The sequence below is a fragment of the Homo sapiens genome, chromosome 4, assembly GCF_000001405.40.
Source record: "Homo sapiens chromosome 4, GRCh38.p14 Primary Assembly".
Lineage (NCBI taxonomy): Eukaryota > Metazoa > Chordata > Mammalia > Primates > Hominidae > Homo > Homo sapiens.
This window is the reverse complement of record NC_000004.12, coordinates 104875271-104901644: the sequence shown is the minus strand read 5'-3', so window position 1 is coordinate 104901644 and position 26374 is coordinate 104875271. Positions and strand designations below refer to the sequence as shown.

General features: G+C 37.3%; 1 long non-coding RNA gene and 1 pseudogene across 2 annotated transcripts, besides 1 other annotated feature; one reads left to right on the top strand and one right to left on the bottom strand.

Annotated features, from left to right (window-relative positions):
- Positions 1–6244: 6244 nt before the first annotated feature.
- Positions 6245–8746, bottom strand: LOC105377351 (uncharacterized). 2 transcript variants are annotated; one of them, XR_939037.3, is made up of 3 exons: positions 8678–8741; positions 7253–7352; positions 6385–6468 (listed from the first exon to the last, which is right to left on the bottom strand). It is a non-coding gene; the product is annotated as an uncharacterized LOC105377351 (long non-coding RNA). The 2 variants fall into 2 exon arrangements; XR_007058213.1 differs by lacking the exon at positions 7253–7352 and having other exon boundaries at positions 6245–6468; positions 8678–8746.
- RPL6P14 (ribosomal protein L6 pseudogene 14) lies at positions 14690–15535 on the top strand (annotated as a pseudogene).
- Positions 22015–22064: an enhancer, noted in NCBI's record as "active region_21770". NCBI's record gives its function as "activates an Ori minimal core promoter by ATAC-STARR-seq in GM12878 lymphoblastoid cells {active_cell/tissue: GM12878}" and the evidence as "EXISTENCE:reporter gene assay evidence [ECO:0000049][PMID:35858748]".

Below are 26374 nucleotides of genomic sequence, written 5' to 3'. Positions count from 1 at the left end.
TTGCTGCTGGCTGGACGACACCATTTTCCACTCCTCTGCTCCTCTGCCTGGAGGAAGCCCCCAGGTGGCATTAGGGAGAATTAGCGTGTAAATTACAGGGCCTCCTAATTTCTCACCACTTCATTAGTTGACAGTTCAGTGAAAGAGCTCCCCTGCCATTCACCTCACGTCTGTGGCACTGACACTTCTCATCAGCAGAAGCAGAGTTCAGTCGTGTTGTGTTGACATGCTTGTGACTTTTCGGTTCCCCTCCTTAGTGTGTGCTAGTTTATTCTCTGACCCTGTTACTAGCAATTATGTCCTTGGATGTCCCTGCAACATCTACCTCAAACCTTCTTTTGGTTCAAACTTGATTCAGTGTCACCAGGAAAAGTTAGAAATTGCTCTTGATCCTGTCCATACCGTTTTACAGAATGGGTTCAAACTATGCCACAAAGAAAGGAAAAATAAAAATAATACCCTATATAAAAATAAACTCTTCTCCATAATATTCTTCATAGCTAGTATTTTTTGAGTGCTTATTCTGTGTCAGGCATTGTTCTAAATACTCCAGAGACTGTTAAATCTTTTTTTTTTCCTTATTGTTTGTTTCATTCAGGAGAAATCTGAGGCACAGAGAGGTTAGGTTTATTGCCTAGGACACACAGCTTTTGAATATTGGAAGTTTGGATCCACAACCCACACTCTAAGTACTGGAGCATTTTGCCTTACTTAGCCAATTACTTAGTTAATTCCTGAATTCATTCAACAAACTTTCATGAAGCACCAGCTATATATAACTTACTATGCCAGAGTTTCTTAGTCTATCAATCCTTCCATTTCCATTGGTGAGAAGCTATTTGTTGAGTACTTCCTATCTCCCCAGGGATATGCTCATGTAGATACAAGAGAAATGCAGGATGGGACCTTACCATCAGAGAATTGAAGTACACGTAGATAGTTGACAAACTTTTCTCTCTAAAGGGCCAGACACAAAATATTTTTGGCTTTGGAGGTCACGTGGTTTCTGCCCCAACAAGTGTGAAGCAGCTGCAAATATTATCTAAATGAATTAGTATGTCTATTCTGATAAAACTTTACAAAAAAATTAGCACCAGAGCATATTTGGCCCACAGGCTGCCTGCTGTGGAGGATAGAAGAAGCCCGAAGAAAAATACGGGACCATAAATACTGACGGTACGACTGAGAGTGGAGCTTGTGCATTATTGCCTGTCCACATCTGTGAGGTCAGTGAAATAAGGTGTCAGGGAGCAAGAACACCTGTGTGCATTTTGGTAATTAGGCAAATTATTTCTAGAGGAGGTGGAGCAGGAGCCTTCCCTCAAGAATGGGAAGTATTTGACATACACCTGTGAGGTTGTTAGGTGGGTGTCACCAACTGCCATAGTTCTTATTACTATGTGTGGCAGGCAAGTTGGTTACGTAATGTCCATTTTCCTCTCCTTCCTTGTTAACCCCATTTTTGTTTGGTGCCACTACAGGTTCAGCCCTAAGCAATGGCTCATAGTTGATAACAGTACATCTCGATAATTGTGTTCTCAATTTCCCTGCCTCTTTTGCGGTTGAAAGTGGTCATGTGACCTAGTTCTGACCAATTAGAAGTAGGTTTGCCTGCTGGGTGGAGTCAGGAGGGACTCTTGGGAAGACTTTTGCTTGTCTGATCAAAGGAACAGACAAGTTAATGTCACACCTCCCTTATATTTTGTTGCCACAAGTTTAAACATGAAGATGAACTGGGACAGACATATTGGGGCCTTGAGGGAGGAAGCCAACGTGTTATAGATGGAGAATGTGGACAAAGAAAAAGAGCCTGGACCTCTGATGACACCAGGGAGCTACTACATGGGTGCTGCTGCCACCCTCCAGCCTTCTAATTTTAAGAGTTTACTACTTTTATTATTATTATTATTGATTTAAGTCACTGTTAGTTGAATAACAAATGTGTCTTTAAAAATATTTCGGGAAATGTCAACTAGAAATTACTTCTAGAAATGTTCCATCATCTTAGATATTTCAGAAAATTGTACCAAATCAAATGAGATTGTTTCTAATTTCTTTCACTTTCTTAGTAATCTTTCTTCACAGTATACTACTAAGGAGAAAAAAGTACATTACAGATAAATATTAGCCTATTTTTCATTTAAATATCATAAATGTCTTAAAGTAAGAACAACAGGTTAGTAGTGGTTGTGTCTGGGTAATTGACACTAGCTGTTGGAATTAGGAGTGTGTTTATTGTTTTGCTTTATTTTTCTAACTTTTCTATAGAAAACATATAAATGAAAAAATTTAAAATCATACTAAAAAATCAAACTAATTTTATTTTTAATGCAAGTTTCTTTTCTGACTTATACTATTTTCCTAACCTAGTTTTTCCTTTGGCTAAGCTCATTTCCTTTTAGTTTTCTTTCCCATATTGTTTTTTGTTCATTAGTTGTGTACTGTGCCTGCTTGCCTGCTTTCCTTTCTTTTCCCTCTCTTCCTCCCTCCTTCCCTTCTGATATGGTTTGGCTGTGTCCCCACCCAAATCTCATCTTGAATTGTAACTCCTATAATCCCCACACATCATGGGAGGAACCCAGTGGGAGGTGATTGCATTATGGGGGTGGGTCTTTCCTGCACTGTTCTTGTGATAGTGAATGAGTCTCATGAGATCTTATTGTTTTAAAGAGTTCCCCTGCACAAGTTCTCTCTCTTTTTGCCTGCTGCCATCCATTTAAGACATGCCTTTGCTCCTCCTTGCCTTCTGCCATGATTGTGAGGCTTCCCCAGCCACATGGAACTGTAAGTCCAATTAAACCTCTTTCTTTTGTAAATTGCCCAATCTTGGCATGTCTTTATCAGCAGCATGAAAATGGACTAATCCTCCTTCCCTCCTTCTTTTTTCTTTCAACAAGTTCTTGCTTTGTCACTCAGTCTGGAGTGCAGTGGTGTGAACACAGCTCACCATAGCCTTGACCTCCTGAACTCAAGCCATTCTTCCACCTAAGTCTCCCAAGTAGCTAAGACTACATGCACCCACCACCACACCTGGCTAATTTTTGTATTTTTAATAGAGACAGGTTCTCGCCATGTTGCTCAGGCTAGTCTCGAACTCCTGGGCTCAAGTGATCCTCCTGCCTTGGCCTTCCAAAGTGCTGTGATTACAGGTGTGAGCCACCACACTCGGCCTATATACTGTCTTTCTACATTTTTTTTTTTTTCATTTGAATGCAGTCTGTGGTATGATGCTGCAAACTTCAAGTTTGTTCTTGAAGTTTGAGCCTTATGTTACTAAGTTTCATCAAACCATCATCTTCATTCATTTAATAAATGTTGTTAGTGCCAGCCACTATATGTGCTTTAGAATTAGGAGGAATGAACATCGGAAACTGTGCTCTTTTCTCTTCCTCCGCTTTCCTTGGACTGACATACATCTCGTTCTGTAAGACCCAATATAAATGTGATTTCCTTCATAAAACCTGAAGTTATCAACTCAATGAATTATTAACCCACTCCTCTACATTTCTATTACACTATTGTTTCTAACTCTATTTTCTTATTTGATAGTATTTGATGATATGTGTGTTTATTAGTATATATTCTTGCCTAGACTGTGGGTTTATTTAGGAGGACTACTGCATCATTTTATCTTTGCCTGGTGTCCATCCCTGTGTTGCTCCTTTAGGCAGCCATATCTGTAGGAAAGATGATAAGCCACATAAATTGCATGCTTGGAAATGAGCTTTCTGAGAATAATATCCTGAACCTGACCTATATTTTGCCACACCATATCTCGATTGTCAGTCACTTCTCTCGGACTCCAGTGCCACTTTGTGGTGTCCTTTATTTTCTCCCCTCCTTCAGGTATACATCATCCCTTGTCTCTTCTAGACTTTCTCAATCGTGCCCCTTCCCCAGCTTTTTTACTTTGACACAGCTTTTTCTTGGAGGTTCAGATCCTGGAGAAAGATCTGGAGACCAGTTACATTTTATACTGAGCAAGCTTTCAATTGTTAGTCTATTCAATAAATAGGTGGGTAAGCAAGTGAATGCTCAGAGGAAACAGACATTTAAAAACTTAATGCTTTTTATAGTAAGTTTGGGGTGAAAGGCAATAAAAAACAATACCATTGGCTGTTTGTGGTATTTATTGGAATGTGGGAAGGCACACAATATAGGCCTGAAAACTTCACTGTGGCATGTGGCCAGTATACTCCTGGTCACCCAGTCCTTCTGCGTCACCATTCTTGTTGATACAGTAATCCTCTTTAAATAAGGGGGAAATAAGAAAAACACAACTCTTTGAACTCAAGTTAGATCAGGAAATTGTGGCAATTTCTGGAATGTCAAGAGTAAAAATAAGAAAGGAAGAATTAATCCTGCTAGCCCAAAATGAGAAGCTGTCACCATCAAAGCTGTAACTCTCTAAATGAATATAACACCTCTGAAAACTCTCACAACTGTGCCAAGTATTTACATGTTCTCTCTGAATGTGGCATCTACAGCAAGTGGTTTTGGTCGTGAAGCACACCATCTGTGTGATTACCCACCCCTTGCTAGAGTACTCTGAACTCAGCAGTTGTACAACAGATGCATTTAAATATACAGTATTCCTGCTCTCATAGTTCAGAATGGGTGTTAGAAACTGAGGGAAAACAACCAGCTTCCTTGAAAACTCAGACTCCATCTGACATTTTTCCAGACACCTTTTGTAACCATGCTCCATGCTATCCTGAAAGATAACAACATTATCATAATAGATTTACACATAGTTAAACCAGGTCAGCCTGACCCAGAACATCAGCAGCTGCTGTCATAATCATTAATGAGTCAGTTAATCCAGAAGGTGAAACCAGATCACTGTTTGGTTTTCATTCAAGTGAAGATCAGTGTAGTCATGGGAAAAACAAGGGTACAGGAGTCAGATTATAAGCAATCCAGTTAGATGAAAAAAAATAGTTTTACTATAATTCATTACTATGATGTATTAGTAGATGTGTCTTTGAAAAGACAACACTAGATGGTTTTTGAGGAACTTACACAATTAAGAATGAAGGATTGAATTCCATCCCCCTCTTTTATGTTTGTTTAAATACTGCACATGCATTCACCAAGGTGTTTTATTCAGGGATGAATTCATCCTAAATGCAGGACTGAGATCTAAAGTTGCATTCATCAGAATGTGTTCCTTAGTAAATGCTGTTGATCCCTTCTGAATCATGGCCTCTCTTGCCTCCAATTGATGCAGTAACATAATGTTCTTTCAGCTGGTCATACGCCATGCTGAATGAGGGACGGATATTTCTTACATAAATAGCATAGGTTTTTTTTTTTCTTCATTTTTTCCTGTAGGCCCCTCTCCTGTTTTCCCCATAGTAGTGGTGTATGGGAGACAGGGATAGGGTCAACATTGAAAAACAGCACATGCCAGGAATGGACTGATATCAAGAATTTAAGAGGAGCTACGGATAAAAGATGTATTATGCACATTTATGCAATAAAAGCCTGAACCGTAAATTTAACATGGCCAGAAAATAAATTGTTATTAACATTTTCCTGCAAATTCTGGGTAAGACTTGCATTGTGGTCATCATCATGAGGCACATTAACAATCTTGGGAAGACTCATTGGGAACCAGTGTTCACAGGTGGCCTGATGGTTGAGGAAGCATTGTAAGTGATGTTGTAACCATCATTGTGTAAATAATAAATTTAGGAAACTGCAGAGGCAAGAAGAATTAAATTGTATCAATACAGACTCCAAAGAGCCTTGGTATTGTGAGTCATAACAGCACTGCTACTTTCTTCTCTCAGTGGAAAAAATAAGAAAAACACGAGTGTTTTTGAACTCTAATTAGGTCAGAAACTGGCAGCAATTTCTGGAAATGGAGAATTAACTCTGCTAGCACAAAATGAGGAGTTATCACCATAAAAAGAACATGACAAGATGTTTTTCGGACCTGAACAGGAAGAGATGGTGCCAGGACCCTATGAAGAATCTTCACCTGCCCCAAATGAGTGATAAACAAATATGTAAGTCCCTCTCCTCTGCCCATTGTTTTAAATCTCCATCAATACATTACCTCACATGGGACTATGGATTCTGAATACAATTTTGATCAAAATAGTTGTATAGACAGAGACTCTGCACAAAAAGATTTGCCACCCAGGACTGCATATACCCCAGAGGTGGCCCTGGTCTGGAAAGCCAGATTAGGTCCTTTTAACTGTTTGATAATTAATAAGTAAAAACTGAAATAATATTTAGATAATGTAACACAATCAAATTTTATTTCAGAATTGTACTATGCAGAGAGGCTGTGTGAGATGAGTTAATAGTTGTGAAAGGAGTGATCATAGGCATGAGAATAGGCGGGAGGCAAATGCAACTGTCCTCATGAGGCTGACTCACATTCAAGTGAAGGAATTGAGGGTCCAGACCTGGCAGGAAATGAGATGGTCATGTCTTTAACAGAATTCGTGATGTCTGAAAGAGAAAGATGAGTTTTGAGGGGAAAGAAAATATGTTTGGAATTTTACATTTTAGAACATTGGTTATTTCATTTGAATTTTGAGAATAATGACAATGGTGGAATATCTGATGAAATTTTGGTTACACTGAAATCCAAAGGTCTTTTGCTATAATTTCTCAGAAACTGTAATTAAACCTTGTAGTAATTAGAAAGTGTATTCAGACATTCAGCAGACCTGCCTTTATCTAAGCATTTCCAAATTAGTTAAATTAGTTCCCAAAACAAGTAGGAGAGAAATGGTTTGGTTTTCTCTGTTTAGAGCTACCTTCATCCTTATCTATATATAGCACAAATTTGAGATCCAATAGAAGGCTACTGGTAAAAAGGTAACCATCAGTTTTGACTTATTTCTGCTGAGGAAAATACAATTTGAAATACATCACCAAATGATTATTCAGTAACGATCCTTGACTTCCATACTGCCCCAGAATGGAAACAGGCCCAATCAATATTAACACATGGGTACAGGAGCATTGCTAAGAGTGGAAGAGAGGTGTTTAGAGGTAGGGGTGTGTGTGGTGTGTGTGTGTGTGTGTGTGTGTGATTAGCACAATGTCTCAGGCCCTCACCAGATGGAAAGTACCCACAGTGGCAAACAATTCAATATCAAGCAAGAATATGAGAGATAAAAATAATTATCAATGGTTATGAAAATTTGACTAATATTTATGTTATTGTAATAAAGGTCCCAGACAGTCTTGGTGACTAAGATTTTCATAGAATATTTGTTGTTTTTACCACGTTGCGAGTTTTCATACATCATGATTACTTTGGCAAAATTCGAAGTGCTGCATACTGAATGATGTGGTTCACAGCAGTGGCAGTAAAAGGACTCTACCTACAATCAAAGAGTCATACTGGGTTATTTTGGATTTAAAAAGATTTAGTAATAGGCTAACATTGGAATAAAATTAAAATTTAAAATTAATGTTTTTGAAGAATTTGTAATAACAATGATAAGTTGTTTTTTTGAAGTTTACAAAAACTTTCTCCCCAGCACTTTTCTTATTACATGTGTAAGATGAGTTAATGGGTGTGAAAGGAGTGATCACAGGCATGAGAATGGGTGGGAGACAAGTACAACTGTCCTTATGAGGGCTGACTCATAAACAAGTGAAGGAATTGAAAATATGGTTGATAAAAGTAATGTTTTGATGATGAGAAAAATTAAAGCACAGAGTTTAAGAAAATTTGATAAACTTAATTAAGCCAAAGGCAGAAAAAATAAGAACTAGAACTTCCAACCCCCTCTATTCACTTTTCTCAATTTAAAATTTCATCTTTAGAAGGTGATGTTTATCAGACATAAAATCCAAATCAATTAGATCTAAATGTTGGGAACCTTGAAAGGTTTAGTCATTCTACTGTTTAAGTTCTGTAATGACTAAGAACGTATCTTTTCCTTGTGTTCATCTTCATTGTTCCTATTTTACCCAGAGGGAAACATTCTTTGAGTAGGTTTATAGTAAGAATAGACAAACAATTTAAAACTCAGCTTGTTATACTAATGATTGACAGCTAACTATGTTGTATAATGGGAAGATGTGTTGGCTAGATAACAGAACTTATTATAGACCAGTACTCCCATTATCTAGTTAAGTGTTTTAGGAAAGACTTTCTTTATTCCCTCTCCCCATCTCACCACTCTCCTTCCCTCTCCCTTCCTTCTTTTCCTTCTGTTCTTTAAGAACCCCACTGTTCTCACCTGAGGAAAGATTGAGGATAATAAGGCCTACCACATAACTAACTGAACCTCCATGTTAGAGAGCTGTTGGGACAATTATATGAGACATGTAAATAACTTTACCCCTTTTTTCCTGTCTCAGTAAATACTACCACAATCCTTCCAGGTCCTCATTAAAACCTTTGGAGTCATCCTGTTTTTTTTCTTCTCCCCCAAACCTATCCAACTACAAGTCCGTTAAGATGTACCCCATATTTACTTTCTCCTTCTCCACTGCTACCATTCCATCGTAGGCCATCCAGAAAACTATAATCACCTCTAACTGGTTACCTTGCTTCTTCTCTTGTCCTCATTCAATTTATTCTCTATCTAGCAGCCAAAATGGGCTCTTAAAAACAAAAATAAAATCATGTAATTTCTCTGTTGAAAAGTCTCCAGCCATTTCCCATAACACTCAGAATAAAATGCAGATTACCTACCATGGCCTCTGAGGCAGGTTCAAGATGGCCACAGATTCTGTGACATTCCCATAGAAAAGAGAAGTGTCTGACTTTCTTCCCTTTGAATGTGGGCTGGCCTTAATGCCTTGTATGATTAACCAAAAAGGGCAAAGTGGCAGGAGTGATGTTCTGAGACTTCCAGGAGAGGTCATAAGAAGGCGTGGAGCTTGGATCAAGGCCTGCTCTGGGGGAAACCAGTCATCACATAAGTCTAACAGTAGTTAGAGACAGCCACGAGACCGCCATGATGCCAACTTGTGAGAAGAGCACGCCATGTGGAGAGGCCCTAGAATAGGAGATGCCATGTGAACAAAGAGCACCAAGGGAACAGACATTGAATGAAATCACCTAGTTTTGCAGCTTTAGCTGCCCCAGTAATACTACCCGCATCAGAGATAAATGTCCAGAAGAACTTTCCCATATCGCTGAACTCCAAATTGTGAGCAAAATAAGATGTTTGTTTTAAGCCACTAAGTTTGGAGATATGTCACAGAAATGGATAGCCCCATAGCCTCTCATGCCATAAAAGTGTAATTCTTTCCCCTATCTTGGAGTTCATCCCCTTCCATTTTCCCCTTTGCTTGCTGCCCCTGAGCTGCTGTGGCTTCTCTGAACACGTCAAGCTTATTCCTGTGCCACCACCTTGACACGTGTCATAGTCTTTACCCAAATTCGGACCCCAGACCTTTTCATACTTGTGTCCTTGTCATGGAGCTGAAGTGTTAAGTATCAATGGGACTTTCTGATCACTCCATCTGAATTAGCCTCACCATGCCTACATCGTTCTACTTCCTCAGTGTACTTTATTTTTCATAGCACTTATAATTCCCTGAAATGATTTTGTTCCTTTATTTATTTCCTACTAACCCTTTTGCAAATGCAAAGTAAACTTTTTGAGACCAGGGTCTTTTCTGTGTTTTTCACAAATGCTATTTATAGGGCTATTTATATTCAGTGCTATTTATATTCAATATTTTTCAATGCATGCATGTAAAAGTGCTTCAAACCTAAACAAGTTTTATTATTATTGCACCACAAGAAACTATTGCAAAAAACCATTGAGAGCTGGAGAAATATTGACTAGAATCTGCTCAGACATGTTCTAATAAGATATACCAATAAGATGTAGAGAATTAAAAATATCCAACAACATCAAACTTTAAGTCCACTTGAGTCAATCATAACAGTACATTTTCATGTTAATATCTCCTTTAGAAAACTGACAGTTTGGTTGTACTATTTTTCTATTCTCCCTTGGCACATGGCTCAATCTTTAGTTTTTTTTTTTCTTTTAACATCTGTCCTTTAATAACAATATTAAAAGTAAGGTGTTTTGGGGTTTAGCCATCCATAAAGTTATGGGACAAAGAGTCCATGAGACTGTTAAGTGTGTTAATCATTTAATATAGGAGGCACTGACCCCTTTCAAAGAAGGAAGAATAAACTCACAATCTGATTTATGTGAATTTTTGTTTTGCTTTACATTTTAACACCCAGTGACCACTTAGGGAGAAGGCTATCACCAATCAATAGTATTTAGGCTACTCAAGAGGAGAGATAACAGAGAGAGCCTAACATATTTGTAGAAAGAGCATCTCTACAAGGATTTAAGAGACAAAAAATTTTGATTCTGTTTCAATAAACTTATTGGTGTGATAAACTGTGTAATTGTCAGTATGTACCAGGAGAGCAAGTTTAATATATATTACAGTAGTACACATTTTAATATAGTCAGCCAGAGAAACTTACTGACTAGTAAGAAACTGAAATGTTAAAATGAAAATCCAGGCGTTGAGATTCCTAGAATCTCTGAAACCATCTTGCATCTCTCTCTCCATCTGCCTGTCAACGTGACTTTCTGAAATAACTAATCTCAAAGGAAGATTTTAGAAAAAAAAATCATGTGGATGTGTTTTTTTTCCCCTAATAAATGCCAATCTTAGGCAGTGTTTTTGTCAGGAGTCTCTGTTCAAGCTTTAAAAGCCAAAAGAAAGATGAAAATGAATACACCAAAATGTAATTTAAAATGCAAATGAAGGATCTGCAGAAAAGCAGCAAAGGCTAATTGTAGTTTTTCTTCATGCTTGGCTCTGTAGACAAAATGTGTTGATGTTACCTTCCTCCTGCTGGGAATGCCCAGGCTGTAGCTGTATTGCCACACTCTGACCTCTCAGATTAAATACACTTGATCTTAAAAAAAAACCCAAACCCCAGTCAGAAATCAGTAGGTACTTAACCCTGTATAGGAATAGGTGGAGAGGCAACCATATGTGACAGTGTGGTTGTTAACCTCTGAGGAATAGAATAGAATAGAATAGAATAGAATAGAATAGAATAGAATAGAATAGAATAGAATAGAATAGAAAACAGTAGTTTCATATTATAAAGAAAGGGCAACTAATCTATATACTCCAAGGGCTCACGTAGTATAGATTTTTAAAAAATCGAGTCCTGAATCAAGGACACCATTTGTTTTTAAATGACCAAGGCTTCAGAAATACTTTAGATTAAGTTGGAGTCAATTCTAAAATGTGCAGTTGTAGCTTCTTTCTTTTTTTTCAGTCCTGTCATACCTGGACACTATGTGCTCTACATTTTGTGGTGAGATTGGATAAATGCATTACTTGCAGCAAAACCTTGTTCACTCTTTTAAAATCTTAGAACTTGTCCAATTAAAAAAAAGCACAAAATAATTTGTAAATTCCAACTTTTACTTTGCTTTTTTTCTTTTCCTGGAATGGATGGATGTTATAATAAATACAAGCAACATTTTATCACAAATGTGAGTGGTCTTGCATATGTGCATTAAGACAGCCTACTCAAAGGTATTACATAAAGTCCTGGAGAAAGAATGGATTTACCAAATAAAATAACTGCTTGGAAAAGTTTAGGTCCAAAAATTATAATTTAGAATTATTTTTAATAGCTCTGGGACTCAAGTGGGATCCATTTCTCCATTATATGTATTAATTAGGGCCACAGAACCTGTGGACAGAAGAGATTGTTTTCTAATTCTCATTCTTCACTATCAAAACTTTGACCACCGTTAATAGAGTTCTACTGGTTCTTCATGCTATTTCCTGCCCTCCAGTATGGGTAATACTGCATTAGAAATTGGTCAGATGGAAACAAGAAGGAGCCTATAAAGGGAAGAGTGTGGATAATTGTATGAACCACACCAGGACATAATGTGGTCTCAGATGTCTCCACATATGCCAAGATTGAGAGGCTGTTGGGATCCTAAGTTAGGGAGGACACAGAGATTCCCTTGTACAGCTTAAGACAGCACAAGGGCTTGGGACTCACAGCTATTGTATTATGTTGCTTTGGACCTATTTCTTCAATTTCTTCGTCTTCCAAGATTTACCATCTGTGTCTTATCCTGCCTGAGAGCCATGGCTCCTTTTAGTAACACATACTTGTACACGTTAAGAGGAAAGGAAGACTTCCTTGTTAAACTCTATCAATTACTCTGTTCAGGGAATCACATCCACCTGTTTGCATGTCTGATGTGGTGTGTTTGAGGGTTTGGCCAGCACATGAAGAAGAGGAAAAGGAGTTGAAGTTCGCTTCTGAACTTTGTGGGACATAGTTTAACCACATGAAGAACAAGATTTAAAGCAAGTTTATAGGTCCAGTCTTAAAATACGCAAAACTGTATTAGGGTTCTTCATGCATAACTGGTTTATTTTCTCTGGGATTTCTTGCCTTTGGTTCTAAAGTTTTGAACCCATTATTTTTTCTTTTGAGGAGGGGAGGAAGTGAACTCTGGTGTTTCCTTCTCAGAAGCCACATGACTGAGTTCACTGGTGTGAAAATAAAACCCTTTTATAACAACACTCAGAAATACATTGTTTTCTTCTAGTAATTATTTTTCCATGAATATTTTACTTTGTTTTATAAAATTAAGACTAGGGCTGTCCTTAACTGCCTCTGATGAACAGAATGAGGAGACATTCTAAACACATTTGTTTAGTTGTTTATTTACGATGTGTTATAAATATGATACATATGACATCAAATTGAAAAATAAAATCAGGGGAGGTAAGAGAAGTCCTAATGCAGAAGGATAACAGAAGGTTAATCAGAAAATAAAATTTTTATGAAAAGGAAAATTTTATGAAATGAATGAAATGAATTTTATGAAAATGAAAATTTTATGAAAATGCTCATAAAAATCCCACTTTAGTCCTCTCGTTAATCTTTGGTTGTCAGTGTTGCTTTACATTGACAGTTCTCACCTTTCTCAAGTGCTTGAATGTTCCCTTCCCACCCGAACGAAAGGCTAATTTCCTACTTTTCTCAGATAGCCAGTTGTTATTTCTAATGTGAACCTGGCAGTCTGAATAACAACAAAGATACCTTATTTTAAAGTCTACAATTATTGGCTACAAAATATCCAAATATCCTTTTCTGTATCACTAGCTCAGGACAAAGTCTATCCAAAATAAGTAACGAATCTAAGATATTAAGATATTATTTGATTTAGCCTCTACATGATTGTCAAATGTGTTTTAGTATGTATGTTTCTCTGAATTCTTCCTTCCTTAGGACCCTCACATTAAAGTATTTTATTTATGATAATCTTTCCCTTATGCACCTCCATAGAATGATTTTAATAACTGTAGTAACACATTATTTTCCTTAATGATTGCAAACACTATAGTATTACTATGCATTAGGCACTATGGTAAATACTAATTGTTAACCCATTTATACTTTAACAACCCTGGATTATAAATACTATGACTGTCTACATTTTACAAATTAGGAAACTGAGGCACAGAGGAATTGATTAGCTGAACAAAGACAACACAGCCAGTAAGCTTGGAATTGCAATTCAAAAGCAGCCGGTGTGGGTCCAGAATTAATGTTATTAACCACATTGATGTGCTTTTTTTCTATAATAATTACTAAAACTTGTGTGTTTATCATCAACAGTGTAATGGAAGAGTAAAGTAATATATCTCCACTGTTATTATAGTAGTGGTATTATTGGTAGTGTAGCACTTACTCTACCTAGTATCTACGTGATGCCTTGAAATTGAGGTGCCAAGGAAAACAGATTATTTTCAGCCACTGGGAAATTTGTATAGGGTTACGTGGCTATGCAGTGTGTTTTAGATTCCTAGATCTGAAGAAATAACTCTGTGTCAAAGGTGGTTTGCACAGATTTCTGGATCATTATGAGGAGCCCTGTGGGAGCACAGCATCTGTAGTGGGGTCCAGCTCTGGATTTAGTTACATGACTTTGGGCGAGTTATCTGATCTCTATAAAACTCTGATTCTTTCTTTATAAAAAATCAGATAATTATGATCCCTCAGGATGCTGGGAGGTGATATTAAAAACTGACAACTGTCATGTGCTGTATCAATAAAAGTTTTGCTAGAGTTTTAGCAGAGAAAAATAATTGTAGACTTGAATCACCACTTTGCATATAACAGTTAAGGCAAGTAGAAGTCAAAGGAACCTGCACTGTAGAGGTTTCCACATTGTAAGTAGGCATATCCAATGTGTGTCATTCTTGTATGGACCAAATGGCAATAGTTTATTAGCAGTGAATGTGCTATTGATTATATTAACAGATGCATTAGATTTTTATAATGCAGACTTAAAAAATAAAACATATGACCGAGATTGATAGTTCCTACTTCAGTATCCATTTTCCTGTCTTGCCTTAGTAACAAACCTGGCACATTGTGGCCTAGAAATTAAAAATGTACAAACAAACGACATTACCCTTCTTTCTTTGCAACTAGGTATCACTATGTGACTAAGTTTTGGAAAATATAATGTAAGTGGAAATATTTTGTTGAAATTATGGGAAGATTGTTTAAAGGGAACCAAGTCAGTAGGGAAGATTTTTTTTTATCCCTTTATATTTACTCCCTCTTTTGCCGTGACTGTGGATATGATGTTTGGAACTCCAGCATGAGCTTCATGGGCTATGAAACAAAAGTGAAAGACAGCTTTCTTTTCCATCTTGCAAGATGGCAGACGAAAAAGTTGATAAGCTGGATACTAAGGAGGAAAAACCTGATGCCAAGAAGGCTGATGCCAGTGGTAACATTAAAAAGGCTAACCTTCAGGCTAAAAAGTCCAAGAAGAGGAAGGCCCACTGCAGCCAAGGTCCTGTTCTCATCACAGGAATTGGCAGATATTTTTGGTCTGCCATGTATTCCCAAAAGGCCATGAACAAGAAGTACTCAACTGCTAAATACAGAATTGAAAGATTCTTGCAACTGTTACAAAACCAGTTGATGGTGACAAGAATGGTGGTAACCCGGTGGTTAAACTTTGCATAATGTGTAGCTATGATCCTATTGAAGATGTGCCTTCAAAGCCGTTGAGCCACAGCAAGAAACCCTTCAATCGGCATGTGAGAAAACTATAGGCTAGCATCTTTCCTGGGACCATTCTGATCATCCTCACTGAATGCCACAGAGGCAAGCAGGTGGTTTTTCTGAAGCAGCTGGGCAATGGCTTGCAACTTGTGACTGGAATACTGGTCCTCAATCTAGTTCCTCTATGAAGAACACACCAAAAATTTGTCATTGGCACTTCCACAAAAATTGATATCAGCAGTGTGAAAATCCCAAAACATCTCACTGATGTATACTTCAAGAAAAAGCAGCTGTGGAAACACAGACACTAGGAAGGTGAGATTTTTGACCAAGAAAATGAGAAATACAAGACTATAGAGCAGTGCAAGGCTGATCAGAGAGCTGTGGACTCACAAACTTTACCAAAAATCAAAGCGAGCTGTCAGCTCCAGGGCTACCTGTGATCTGTTTGCCCCAATGAATGGAGTTTATCCTCAAATATTGGTGCTGTAAATTTCTTACAAAGAACCCAATTAAATAACCAATATATTTTTAAGTAGAAGATGGGATTTATAACAATGGAGCAGAATTATAGCAGCCAGAATTCTTGATGATATCATGGGTTCCTTGTATCAGTTATGGGCTATTTCAAGATTTCTTTTATGATAAGAATATTAAAAGAAAAAAAACTAAAGACATTTAAATAACTGGTATTTTGATATCAATTACCAAATCAGTCTTAACTTGCATACCATATTACTAATCTTCAATTAAATTAAGTAAAAATTTTTATATAGTTATTGAGTGTACATCAGCTTGTGAAAATACATTGTTATTGAGTTTTGATTGAATCTAAGGTCTGACTATCCTGAAGTAGCAAAGGAATCTTAAAGTTATTAAATATATGTACTTAAGTTAAAAAGGCATTTTTCTGCATTAGATCACTGAATTCAGAAAATTTATATATAGAATCAGACTTGAAGCTGTAATAATATCTACTATTTATAACCAACACTTTGGTTTTAGTAAAATAACATTATGTTAAATTAAGTTGATAACTTTATTATATTCATAGTTTTGACTACATCTATTTTATTATCAATGTTGTTTATCTCTAAGCATAAGAAGTTTTTATTTAATATGAAAAGGAGCTTCCATGATTATTATTTTCTTTTAGAAGGGAAGAATAATTTTTTCAAGTTTGAAAAATAACACTTCTGAGTATGACAAAAATTATATTACTATATTAGCTATAAATCAATCTGAAGACAATAGATAGAATTGATAGAGAACAGAGAATTCAGCTACAACAGTTTTTGCTGAAGTATCCCTGTCCTGAATCCGTCTCCCTGTCCTAAATCCAGAAGGTTTTTTTCCTGACTTACTAAGAAATTTATATCGTCACTTTATTTAAGCAAAACAAACTCTAGGATTGCCTGAGAAATGTCTCCATCATTGTAATAGTAACTTTAAAAATTAGCCCCTTTATCTTCATCCAACTGTCTTTCTCTTCCAACTATATCTGGCCTGTTCCAGACTATATTCTCTCTTGTATTTACTTTTAATTCAGTCTTGAGGTCTCCTCTGGAGAGTGGCTATAAGCTCTAGCCTTGCCCTGATGGGGTTCCAGGAGTGACCATAGTTGATGTTTACAATATGGCTTTCACAGGATTCTTCTTTATCCTGGCGGATGGCCTAACACCTAAGTATCTGACCTGTGACCAGGCGTCCCTCTCCTGGGAAACTTGTTTATGCCATCGGATGCACTGTGGTTCTTCTCTAATCTGTGCCCAGTTTATCCCTACCAAGACAGCCACCTTCCAGAACAGCACTGATCAGAAGGAGAGTTCGGTTCAGATGTATTAGTCAGGTGAGACAGAGGTGGCAGCACAACAAACACGTAAAATAACAGAAGAAATTTTTACTACTTACCAATCTTAGAGAAAAGAGGGCAATACGTCTTGCAGGACCAGTGGGGTCTGGGACACACATGCTCAACTAGCAGGTGGGGAGCAAGAGAGAGAGGAGGGACCAGAGGACCAAAGCCTTTATTGGGGTTCAGGGTGTTACCCAAACAGGTTTCCCAGGGCAAGTTCTAATTGGTGGGTTTAAAGCAAGCAGGCACGTGTTCCAGGACGTCATGCTATGACTGAGAAGTGGTCAGTGTGACATATCTGAACAGAGTGGGAGGTCTGTGGGGACAGTCAAGTAGGTTGGACCTAGCTGTCCCATGTGGAAAGGGTCACCAGGAAGTTGTTGTTGCACAAGGCAAACATCTGGATCAATCACATTGAGGAACTGGTAGGAGGCAGAGAATTGGAAACTGTCAAGAGTGACTATGCCCTGTTTCTGTATAAGAAAGTCCAACTTATACTTAAAATGAATACGGAGGCAATATAAAATTATAAGAATTCACTAGATCCTGAATTCCAGAGCCATTTTTTTCTGGTAAGAAACAAGCCACTTCTTGATTAGCCATGCATGGGGGTATTATTGTTATAGTAGCAAACACAACCATGTGAAAATAATTAAGATTCACCCTCAATGGTGGAGAATGGCTGGTTGCTTCATAATGCAAGCTGTGGCAGAAATGGAGTGAACACGCTGACTCTCAAGGAGAGCTCAATGGCCCTTATAACTTTTCTGGAAGGAACACCATAATGTGTAATAGAACCAACACTGGCTTTGGAGGAAGAAACTCATGGGTTTGAAGCTCCACTCTGCCACTTAGTTCTGTATGTCTGTTGGTAAATAATTTGCCCTCTCTGAACGGAAGTTTCCTTGTACATAAAATAGGGGTAATAATACTTATCTTGGAAGACTGTTGTGAAGATTATGGATTGTATGGACTTATGGGCAAAATGCTAATGCAGGACCTGACACCGCAGGTGTTCAGCTCATGGTAGCTGTTATTATTACCAGCCTCGATTGTGACTTTCTTATATTGTGATGAAGAAATGCAATGAAAGCCTCAAGGTCTCAAAGGTGAAAGAGGCAAAAAATTAAGAAACAGGGCAAAGTAATAATACCACAGTGAATCAACTTATATCCTTGTCATGTTCCTGTTTTCAAGGGAGGATGTTGTCTTTTTCTCCCCTTCACAATCTAGCCCATGACAAGCATCCTCTAAGGTGGCTGTGTATAACATGGCACTATGGTGGAGGAAAAAAGTGCTACCAATTTATTACCAATTACAGTTTATAATCTGGGATGAGGTTAAAAATACTTGATAACTGAATAGCAGAAGCACCTGTGTTGCACACACCAACTACTAGCCTATATCAGCCTCACTTCTTTCCAAGAACAGTCAGAATGAACACTTAGACTATGCCAGCGTGGACCTTTTCACTAAGTAAGCAGCTGTTTTGATATATTAGGAAATGCCTGAATAAGAAGGAACACGACTGTAACTACATGACTTTACTACTCTTATGCGAGCTGCTTGGAGACATACTCTGTAAAATGTATCAACTTTTGCTTGGTTTTCACTTTCAAAAATTGTTTCTGTCAACAAGGAAAATTTCCAGTTCCTTAACAAGTGGAAAATAATCAGAGTTTTAATCTTGCACCTCATAGTAATAGCGTAGTAACTGGTATTTTCTCAGTATGCGCACCAAATATTAAAAAAAAAAACTTGAGAACTTTCACCTTGGCAAATATGTAATTTTAAAAGATCATAGGCGGTGGCTCACGCCTGTAATCCCAGCACTTTGGGAGGCCGAGGCGGGTGGATCATGAGGTCAGGAGATCGAGACCATCCTGGCTAACAAGGTGAAACCCCGTCTCTACTAAAAATACAAAAAATTAGCCGGGCGCAGTGGCGGGTGCCTGTAGTCCCAGCTACTCGGGAGGCTGAGGCAGGAGAATGGCGTGAACCCGGGAAGCGGAGCTTGCAGTGAGCCGAGATTGCGCCACTGCAGTCCGCAGTCCGGCCTGGGCGACAGAGCGAGACTCCGTCTCAAAAAAAAAAAAAAAAAAAAAAAAAAAAAAAGATCATAGGAGACAGAGTAACCAAATATCCAATATTTCAATTTAGTCTAAAATCAGCAGTAATTCAAGTAAATAGGAACTGGGTGGTTTTTTTAAATATGAAAATGCGACTTTGTTTCTAAAATTTGGCTTGGAGACATGTTAAATTGGTCTGGGAAGTTTCTAAGAATCCCTTTACCTTCAGGCTGAGGAGAAACATTTAGCAAGCTCACACTAACAGTGTTGGAAAGGGAAGAAGTATAGGAAACCAAAACTCAGTTTTTGATTAGCACTATACTCATGATACTTCTAAAGACAAATCGGTTGTTTCCAAATCCTTTGGCTGGTCGGAATCCTAGGGAATTTGCCCATTGTTGGCACTGTGGTCTTTGGAGTGTATTTGTATACTGGAAACCCAAAGGATGCAGGAAACGTGGGTTGGTTACATATTCTAAACCTCTTAAGGGTGACAAAAAAGCACCCACAGCTCTGCAGGGTATGGTATTTTAGGAAGAATCATTGCTTGTACTGTGCTGTATTCCCATTTAATGTACGTTAGGAATGTCTGAAAGGTATTCAAAACCTCCAGATTCACTTTCTATTGACTAGATGGACCATACTGGTAGAGCTCCTGGTACGCTGATTCTCAATCTGAAGCCAAGGGTACAGCTAGGGCTGTGTTTTCTCTGCCAGTACAGTGAATTAATCGTGGGATAACTGGCAGAATTCAGCTCTGGGTCAATTTTCAGTACAAACTCTATTACTGTGTCTAACAAGGCTGTATGAACTGCCTATTTATGTATGCAGAAATGCTCTATATAGACAACATTATCTGGTATAAACTGAACTGCACTTGTGCCAAGAAAATAGCTCCACATGCTGCAGACATCTTGGCTCTCTTCTGCTGCTTTTCAGGTGGTGTGAATTCTGGCAGGAGCCAAAAGTCAAACTCCAGGATAGAGCCTGGGTCTCTGGCCCACCAGCTATGGTGGGCAGCTTCATAGAGCACATGAGGCAGCTCCAGTTGGCAAGCAGCCCCTTCCTTTTAATTAAAGCCATTGGCACCTTCGGTAGGGGAGAAACAGAAATGGGAATGAGTTGGTCTTCACTGTACACTGAGGGTGTCAAAACTGATATCTTCATTAAAATAGCTTAAGCTGAACTTATCTGAAAATATCAAAAATTTATTACAGGGAGTCTAAAGCTTTATTATCATCATCATCATTGGGGAGGGATCAGGGGCAGACTTATATAATATCTTGAAGACTCCTAGGCTCCTGGAGTGAAACTGTTATGACTTGGCACCAATGTTGCTAGAACATCTTGTAAGCAGGTACAATGCCAAATGAACACATGTGAACAAGAATGCTCAGCAAGGAGGAAATGTTTATTTTATCAGTGAGTATCATAACTAGAAATAGGATAGAACTGATCCATCTGCTTCATGGACACAGCCATCCAGGCTTCAAGACAATAGATAACTGGTGCAGAAGTTGGTGGCAAAAAGAAAAAAAAAAAAAGATTGTGCATCTGTCCCCTAGTCAAGCCTACTAAACAAGCATTTTCTAAGGTCTAAGCATATTTTACCTGCCCATGCTCCCAGAGAAGGGAAACATTGGAAATCAAATCTGTATGCTTTGCTGCTCATTAGACATTGTTATTCTCTGGGCAAGTAGGGAGAAGAGTGGCTAATTGTTTTGCTGCCTTTTGCATGTATATTATTGATGAAGACTACATAGTTTCATTGATAGTTCATAAATTTGCAGATAATATGAGAAGGAAAAGGAAATTCAGTGTGTGTCAAGAGCAGACAACTTGGTTTATTTCTTCTTATATGGTACCCTAACATTGTCTTTGGAGAGAGTTTTCCTTTTCTTTCCTTTTTAAAGTACAACTTTATTGAAATATAAGTGACATACATTATACTGCATATATGTAAAGTGTAAAATTGATAAGGTTATGTATCTATCCATGAAATATCACAAGTAAGATAATTAACATATTCATCACTCCCAAAGGTTTTCTTATGCCTTGTTGTAATCCTTTCTTCCTGTTACACCCCATCTTTCTCACTCTCTTTCCCTTTTCCCAGGCAACCACTCAGCTGCTTTTTGTTCCTATAGATTACTTTGCATTTTCTAGAATTTTATCTAATTAGGATCATATAAAATGTCTTCTTTTTTGTCTAGTTTCTTTAACTTATTACACTTATTTTGAGATTCATCCATATGATTATGTGCCAACAGTTCATTCTTTTGTATTGTAGAGCAGTAGCCTGTTACATGGATAAAGGACCATTTGTTTTTTCATTCACATTTTGATGGTATTTGGATTTTTTCCATTTTTTTTTTACTATTACAAATAAAACTGCTATGAACATTCAAGTACAATACTTTGCATGGACAGTTGCTTTTATTTCTCTTGGGTAAATATCTAGGAGTAAAATGGCTGACTCTTATTTATTTAAGAAACTGTCTACCTGTTTTCCAAAGCGGTTGCGCTGTTTTACATTTCCATCAGCAGTGTATAAGGTTCTAGTTCTTCCACATTCTTATAGACATTAGATATGGTAAGTTTTAAAATTTTATTCATCTTAATAGGTGTGTCATGGTACCTCAATGCAGTTTTAATTTTCATTTCCTTAATGACTAATGATGTTGAACATCTTTTCATCTGTTTATTTGCAGTCAGCATGAATTCTTTGGGGGAGGTGTCTGTTCAAATATTTTGCCCATTAAAATTTTTTTCTTATTGAGTTTTGAGATTTCTTTATGTATCCTTTAAGTTCATCCTTTATCAAATATATGATTTGCAAATCTTGTCTTCCTAATCTGTGGCATTTCACTCTCTTAATGGCATTTTTAAAAGAGGGGGTTTTTAATTTTGATGAAGTCCAATTTCTCAATTTTGTTTTGATAGATCTTACTTTTGGTGCAGTACTCAAGGAGTCTTAGCTTAACCTAAGGTCCCGTTCTTCTACATTTCCTGTTTCTCTCTCTTTTTATTCCTTGGTGCCTGGAGCAGAAGTGGCAGAGCTGGTTTGTAGATGTGAAGAGATTCCTGTTTTCTGCATTCAATAGCTCTGTGCAATCTGGCTACTTGCCATTTGGATTTAAAGCATTAGAAAAAAGACAGGAGCAGGAGACTTGAAAAGTTTCTGTGAAACCTCACATTATAACTAAGAAAAGAAAGCCACTAATTGCTTTCAGAGAACTTGTCAAGAAGGTTTCAGATGTACTCGCAGTCGGTTTTTCCAAGAAAAAGCAAAAGCAGTTTTATACGGTATTTTGAAATGTTAACCAGATTTCTTAAAACTTGTGTTTTGATAGCTAAACAATAATAGAAATAAAATCTGGTAAAAGTTGTTACCTAATTCAGTGAACTTTTCAAAGTTTTTATTTTCTTATTTTTATGGAAAAGAATAACCAAAACATTCACAGAGTGAAAAGTCTGCAATACTAGGGCAAAGCACTTGTTTGGCACAACAGGAAAATAACTGCATCATACCAGAGTGGGAATACATGCAGCTCTTCTCTAGTTTCTAAATCTGAAAGCAGCATTATTATCAGGTGGTGATTACATTTTTGGAGTGAAACAGTGAATTTGTCAAAGCACTTATCTATTCTGCTTTTGGTAATACTAGCTTATGCTTTTTTCTTTTCCAAATGCTTTTTATATAAACTATCTGATGGCATTCTCATCACTGACATTACTATACATATTAGAGAAGTTAGGAACTTGAAGAAAAGTTAAGTATTTTGCTCAAGGTAACATTGCCAGTTAGCAGAAAAACCAGGATATAAACATTTTCTTTCTCTAATAGTTTCTCCGCTGTTAGGTGCTGCTCCTTAAAAAAAACAAAGCACCTCTTTCTGTCAGTGGGATGTTTAACTGTACCCACTTCTGCTTCTGTTAATATCCATCAATAGATGAGAGTTAAAATATTCTTTCTCTTACTTTGTGTTCTCTCTAATTTAGATTTTATATTTTTGTAATATGAGCTTAGAGAATGACTCAAAATAAACAATGTTGGTACTGAATGAGCAGTTCTAAAAACTTAAAATTTAATTCACTTAGGTTATAATAATGCAGATCTCAATATTCCATTTGGTCACAATTTTAGGAAATATTTGTTATTAATTATAATTCTGGTATAAACTACATTTGTTGAAATTGCTTTAATTCAAGGCAGCTTCTATAGGATATTTTTCAAAACATCCCAGTGTTCTGAGTGACCAAATACAGAAATAAAGCCTGTCCCTTAAGACATCTACCTTAAAGGAAACCTTATAACTGTGAAAAGAAAATTATTTGAAAAGTTTCCATTTAACTTAATTAAATATTTATAGAGCAGATAATCTAAAAGAGTTGCTTAGTTAATGCTAGGTGATCCTTTTACTGAATATCTATTTTGATCTTATCACTCATATTGCTCATTACTTTTAAGACTTTTGATCATTTTACAGAAGACTTGGGTCTTCTGTGTTCTGAGGTTTAGGTTTAAAACTATGACACTACACCGAGGAGGGTGTCTATTGCTAAAGCTGGTTTAAATAGTTTAACATGCAGTCAGAAAATTTGTTTTGCATTGACAATATAAAAGCTAGCTGAAGGGTATGGAAATGCTCATATAGGAGGGAGGGAGAGAAGGTTAAATTTCTTGCCATGGGCCACGCTGGAGCAACTGTTAACAATTTAAACAAGGATTTTTTTTTTTTAACCAAAACCGTGCAAGCATGGTTTCTTTCCTTGAGGCAGGCAAAGGACATGGCTGGGCTCATACATTTTTAGCAGCTGGCATGTTAATGAGATAATTTCTATTGAAATGAGCTAAATACTATTACCATTTGTGGACTTCCAGCTGATTCTAAGGCATTTATTGAACTTCAAAAAGTGCTCCAGAATCAATTCAAAGTACATTTTTAGATTCATGTGTATGTTGGTACCTATATACATGAACAGTCAATGTTTATGCTTATGTGACTTGGCTCATGAAGTGTCCAGATTTCTTAAAGCTTGTGTTTTGATAGCTAAACAATAATAGAAATAAAATCTGGTAAAAGTTGTTACCTAATTCAGTGAACTTTTCAAAGTTTTTATTTTCTTATTTTTATAGAAAAGAATAACCAAAACATTCACGGAGTGAAAAGTCTGCAATACTAGGGCAAAGCACTTGTTTGGCACAACAGGAAAATAACTGTGTCATACCAGAGTGGGAACACACTTGAGAATTTCAGATTTAAACTCATTATTTTTAATTATAACACTGTCATAACAAAGCACCATAGAGTTTGTGGCTTAAACAACAGAGATTTATTTTCTTACAGTTCTGAAGGCCAGAAGTCCCTGATCAGTGTCTGATGAGGGCTTTTTTCTTCGCTTTCTGATGGCTGCCTTCTCTGTGTATCCTCACGTGGCCTTCCCTCATTGAGTACATGTGGAGAAAAAGAGAGACACCAAGCTCTCTGGTGTCTCCTTTTTACAATGGCATTAATCTCATCATGAGGGCATCACCCTCATTTAACCCTAAGTACCTCCCAAAGATCCCACTCCAAATACCATGACATTGGGGGTTAAAGTTTCAACATATACATTTGAGGGGGAGACAGACATTCAGTCCATAAGAAATGGCATATGTGGCATCCATATGTGGGGAAGTTGTCCCTCAGCTGTTGTAAATGTGGGTCTGGACTCAAGAGTGAGATCTGATGTGGAGTTAGATATATCTTGATAGATATAGATGAGTTTCCTCTGCAGGTCACTGTTTCCCCAACTTCTCTTTACTGTGAGTATTGTCAAGGTCTCAGCCCCAGGAATTCTTACTTCTCATGCTACTACAACACTCCCTGGCAATCTCATACTTGCTTATGGCTTCTACCACCACATTCAAATTGGTTAAAAATAATGCAAAACTTCCCAATCTAGTGTCCTATTTTTTCTGACATTTCTTCCAACTATATCCTAAACATTTCCTTCTAAATGTCCGTATTGGTGTCTGACACTTGAGAATTTCAGATTTAAACTCATTATTTTTTCTGAAATATCCACCCTCAATAACAAATAAGTAAACTTTTTATTTCCTCTGCCTAAAATAACAACACCACTCATCATTCAGGTGACCATTCAGTGATGAAGCCCTGTCTCCCTGTACTCGTTTCCTATTGCTATCACATATCACCACAATTGTAGTAGCTTAAACAGTACAAATTTATTATGTACAGTTTGGAGGTCAGAAGTCTGACACGTTTCTAACTGGGCTAACATAAGGTGTCGGCAGGGCTGTGTTCCTTTCTGGAGGCTCTGGGGGAATCTATTTCTTTGCCAGCTGGAGGCCGCCCACATTCCTTGGTTCATGGCCTTTCTTCCACCTTCAAAGTCTTCAACATCAAGCCGAGTCATTTTCAGACTGCCGTCTCTGTTTCTTCGGATTTCCTCTCCTACTTTTAAGTATAAACTTGTGATTAATTGGGCTCACCCAGATAATTCAGAGTAACCATGCTATTTTAAGTTCAGGTGATCATCTTCCTTAATTCCACCTACATCCTTAACTTATCTTTGTCATGTGACATAACATATTCACAGGTTCTGGGGTTTAGGACTTGGACATCTCTGAGGGGCCATAATTCTTCTTCCCACACTCTCCTCTATTCCATATCCCATGAACCCACAACCCCTTCAACATACCTTATCCTGCTTTATTTTTCTTCATTGCATTTATTATTATCTAATGTATGATTATAGATTTACTTATTTTTTGCTTCCTGCACTGGAATGCAAGCATCACAAGGCAAAGACTTCGTCTTCTCTGTGGCTGCATCTAGAGCCATGCCAGAGACATAGTAGGTGCTCAAGAAATATCCTTTGAATACATGAATGAAAGAAAATCTGGTTTCTCACTGAAGACTGTCAGTTTGACCTAGATGGCGTGTTTCCATATCCATTCCCTTTTATTCATATTCACTGTCCTTTGTATTATTTCACTTTTTTTCCCTCAAGAATTTTCACCATTTTAGTAAATTAATAGACAGTGTACTTCAGTTTCTATCCTGTTTCTAAATCACAAATCTGTTCATCTTAACCTTCTACTTAAAACCCTTCAATGGCTCTTTGGCAAAGTTTATGAGATTATGTGTAATCCGCCTCTGCCCATCATTTCCTCATATTCTTCTTTACACTACATACTCCATGTTCCAGAGATTCTGGAATATTTGTTCATGTTTCGTATCTTACCTTCTTTGACTATATAAAGAAATATCCCTTCTCCACATTGAGTTCCTCTTTTTCCATAATTTCAGTGGAAATCTCTGCAAAAAGTTAACTACTTCCTCCTTTGAGGCTATCATTGTCAGGAATAACAGGAAGGGTGGCTCAGACTGTGAACAT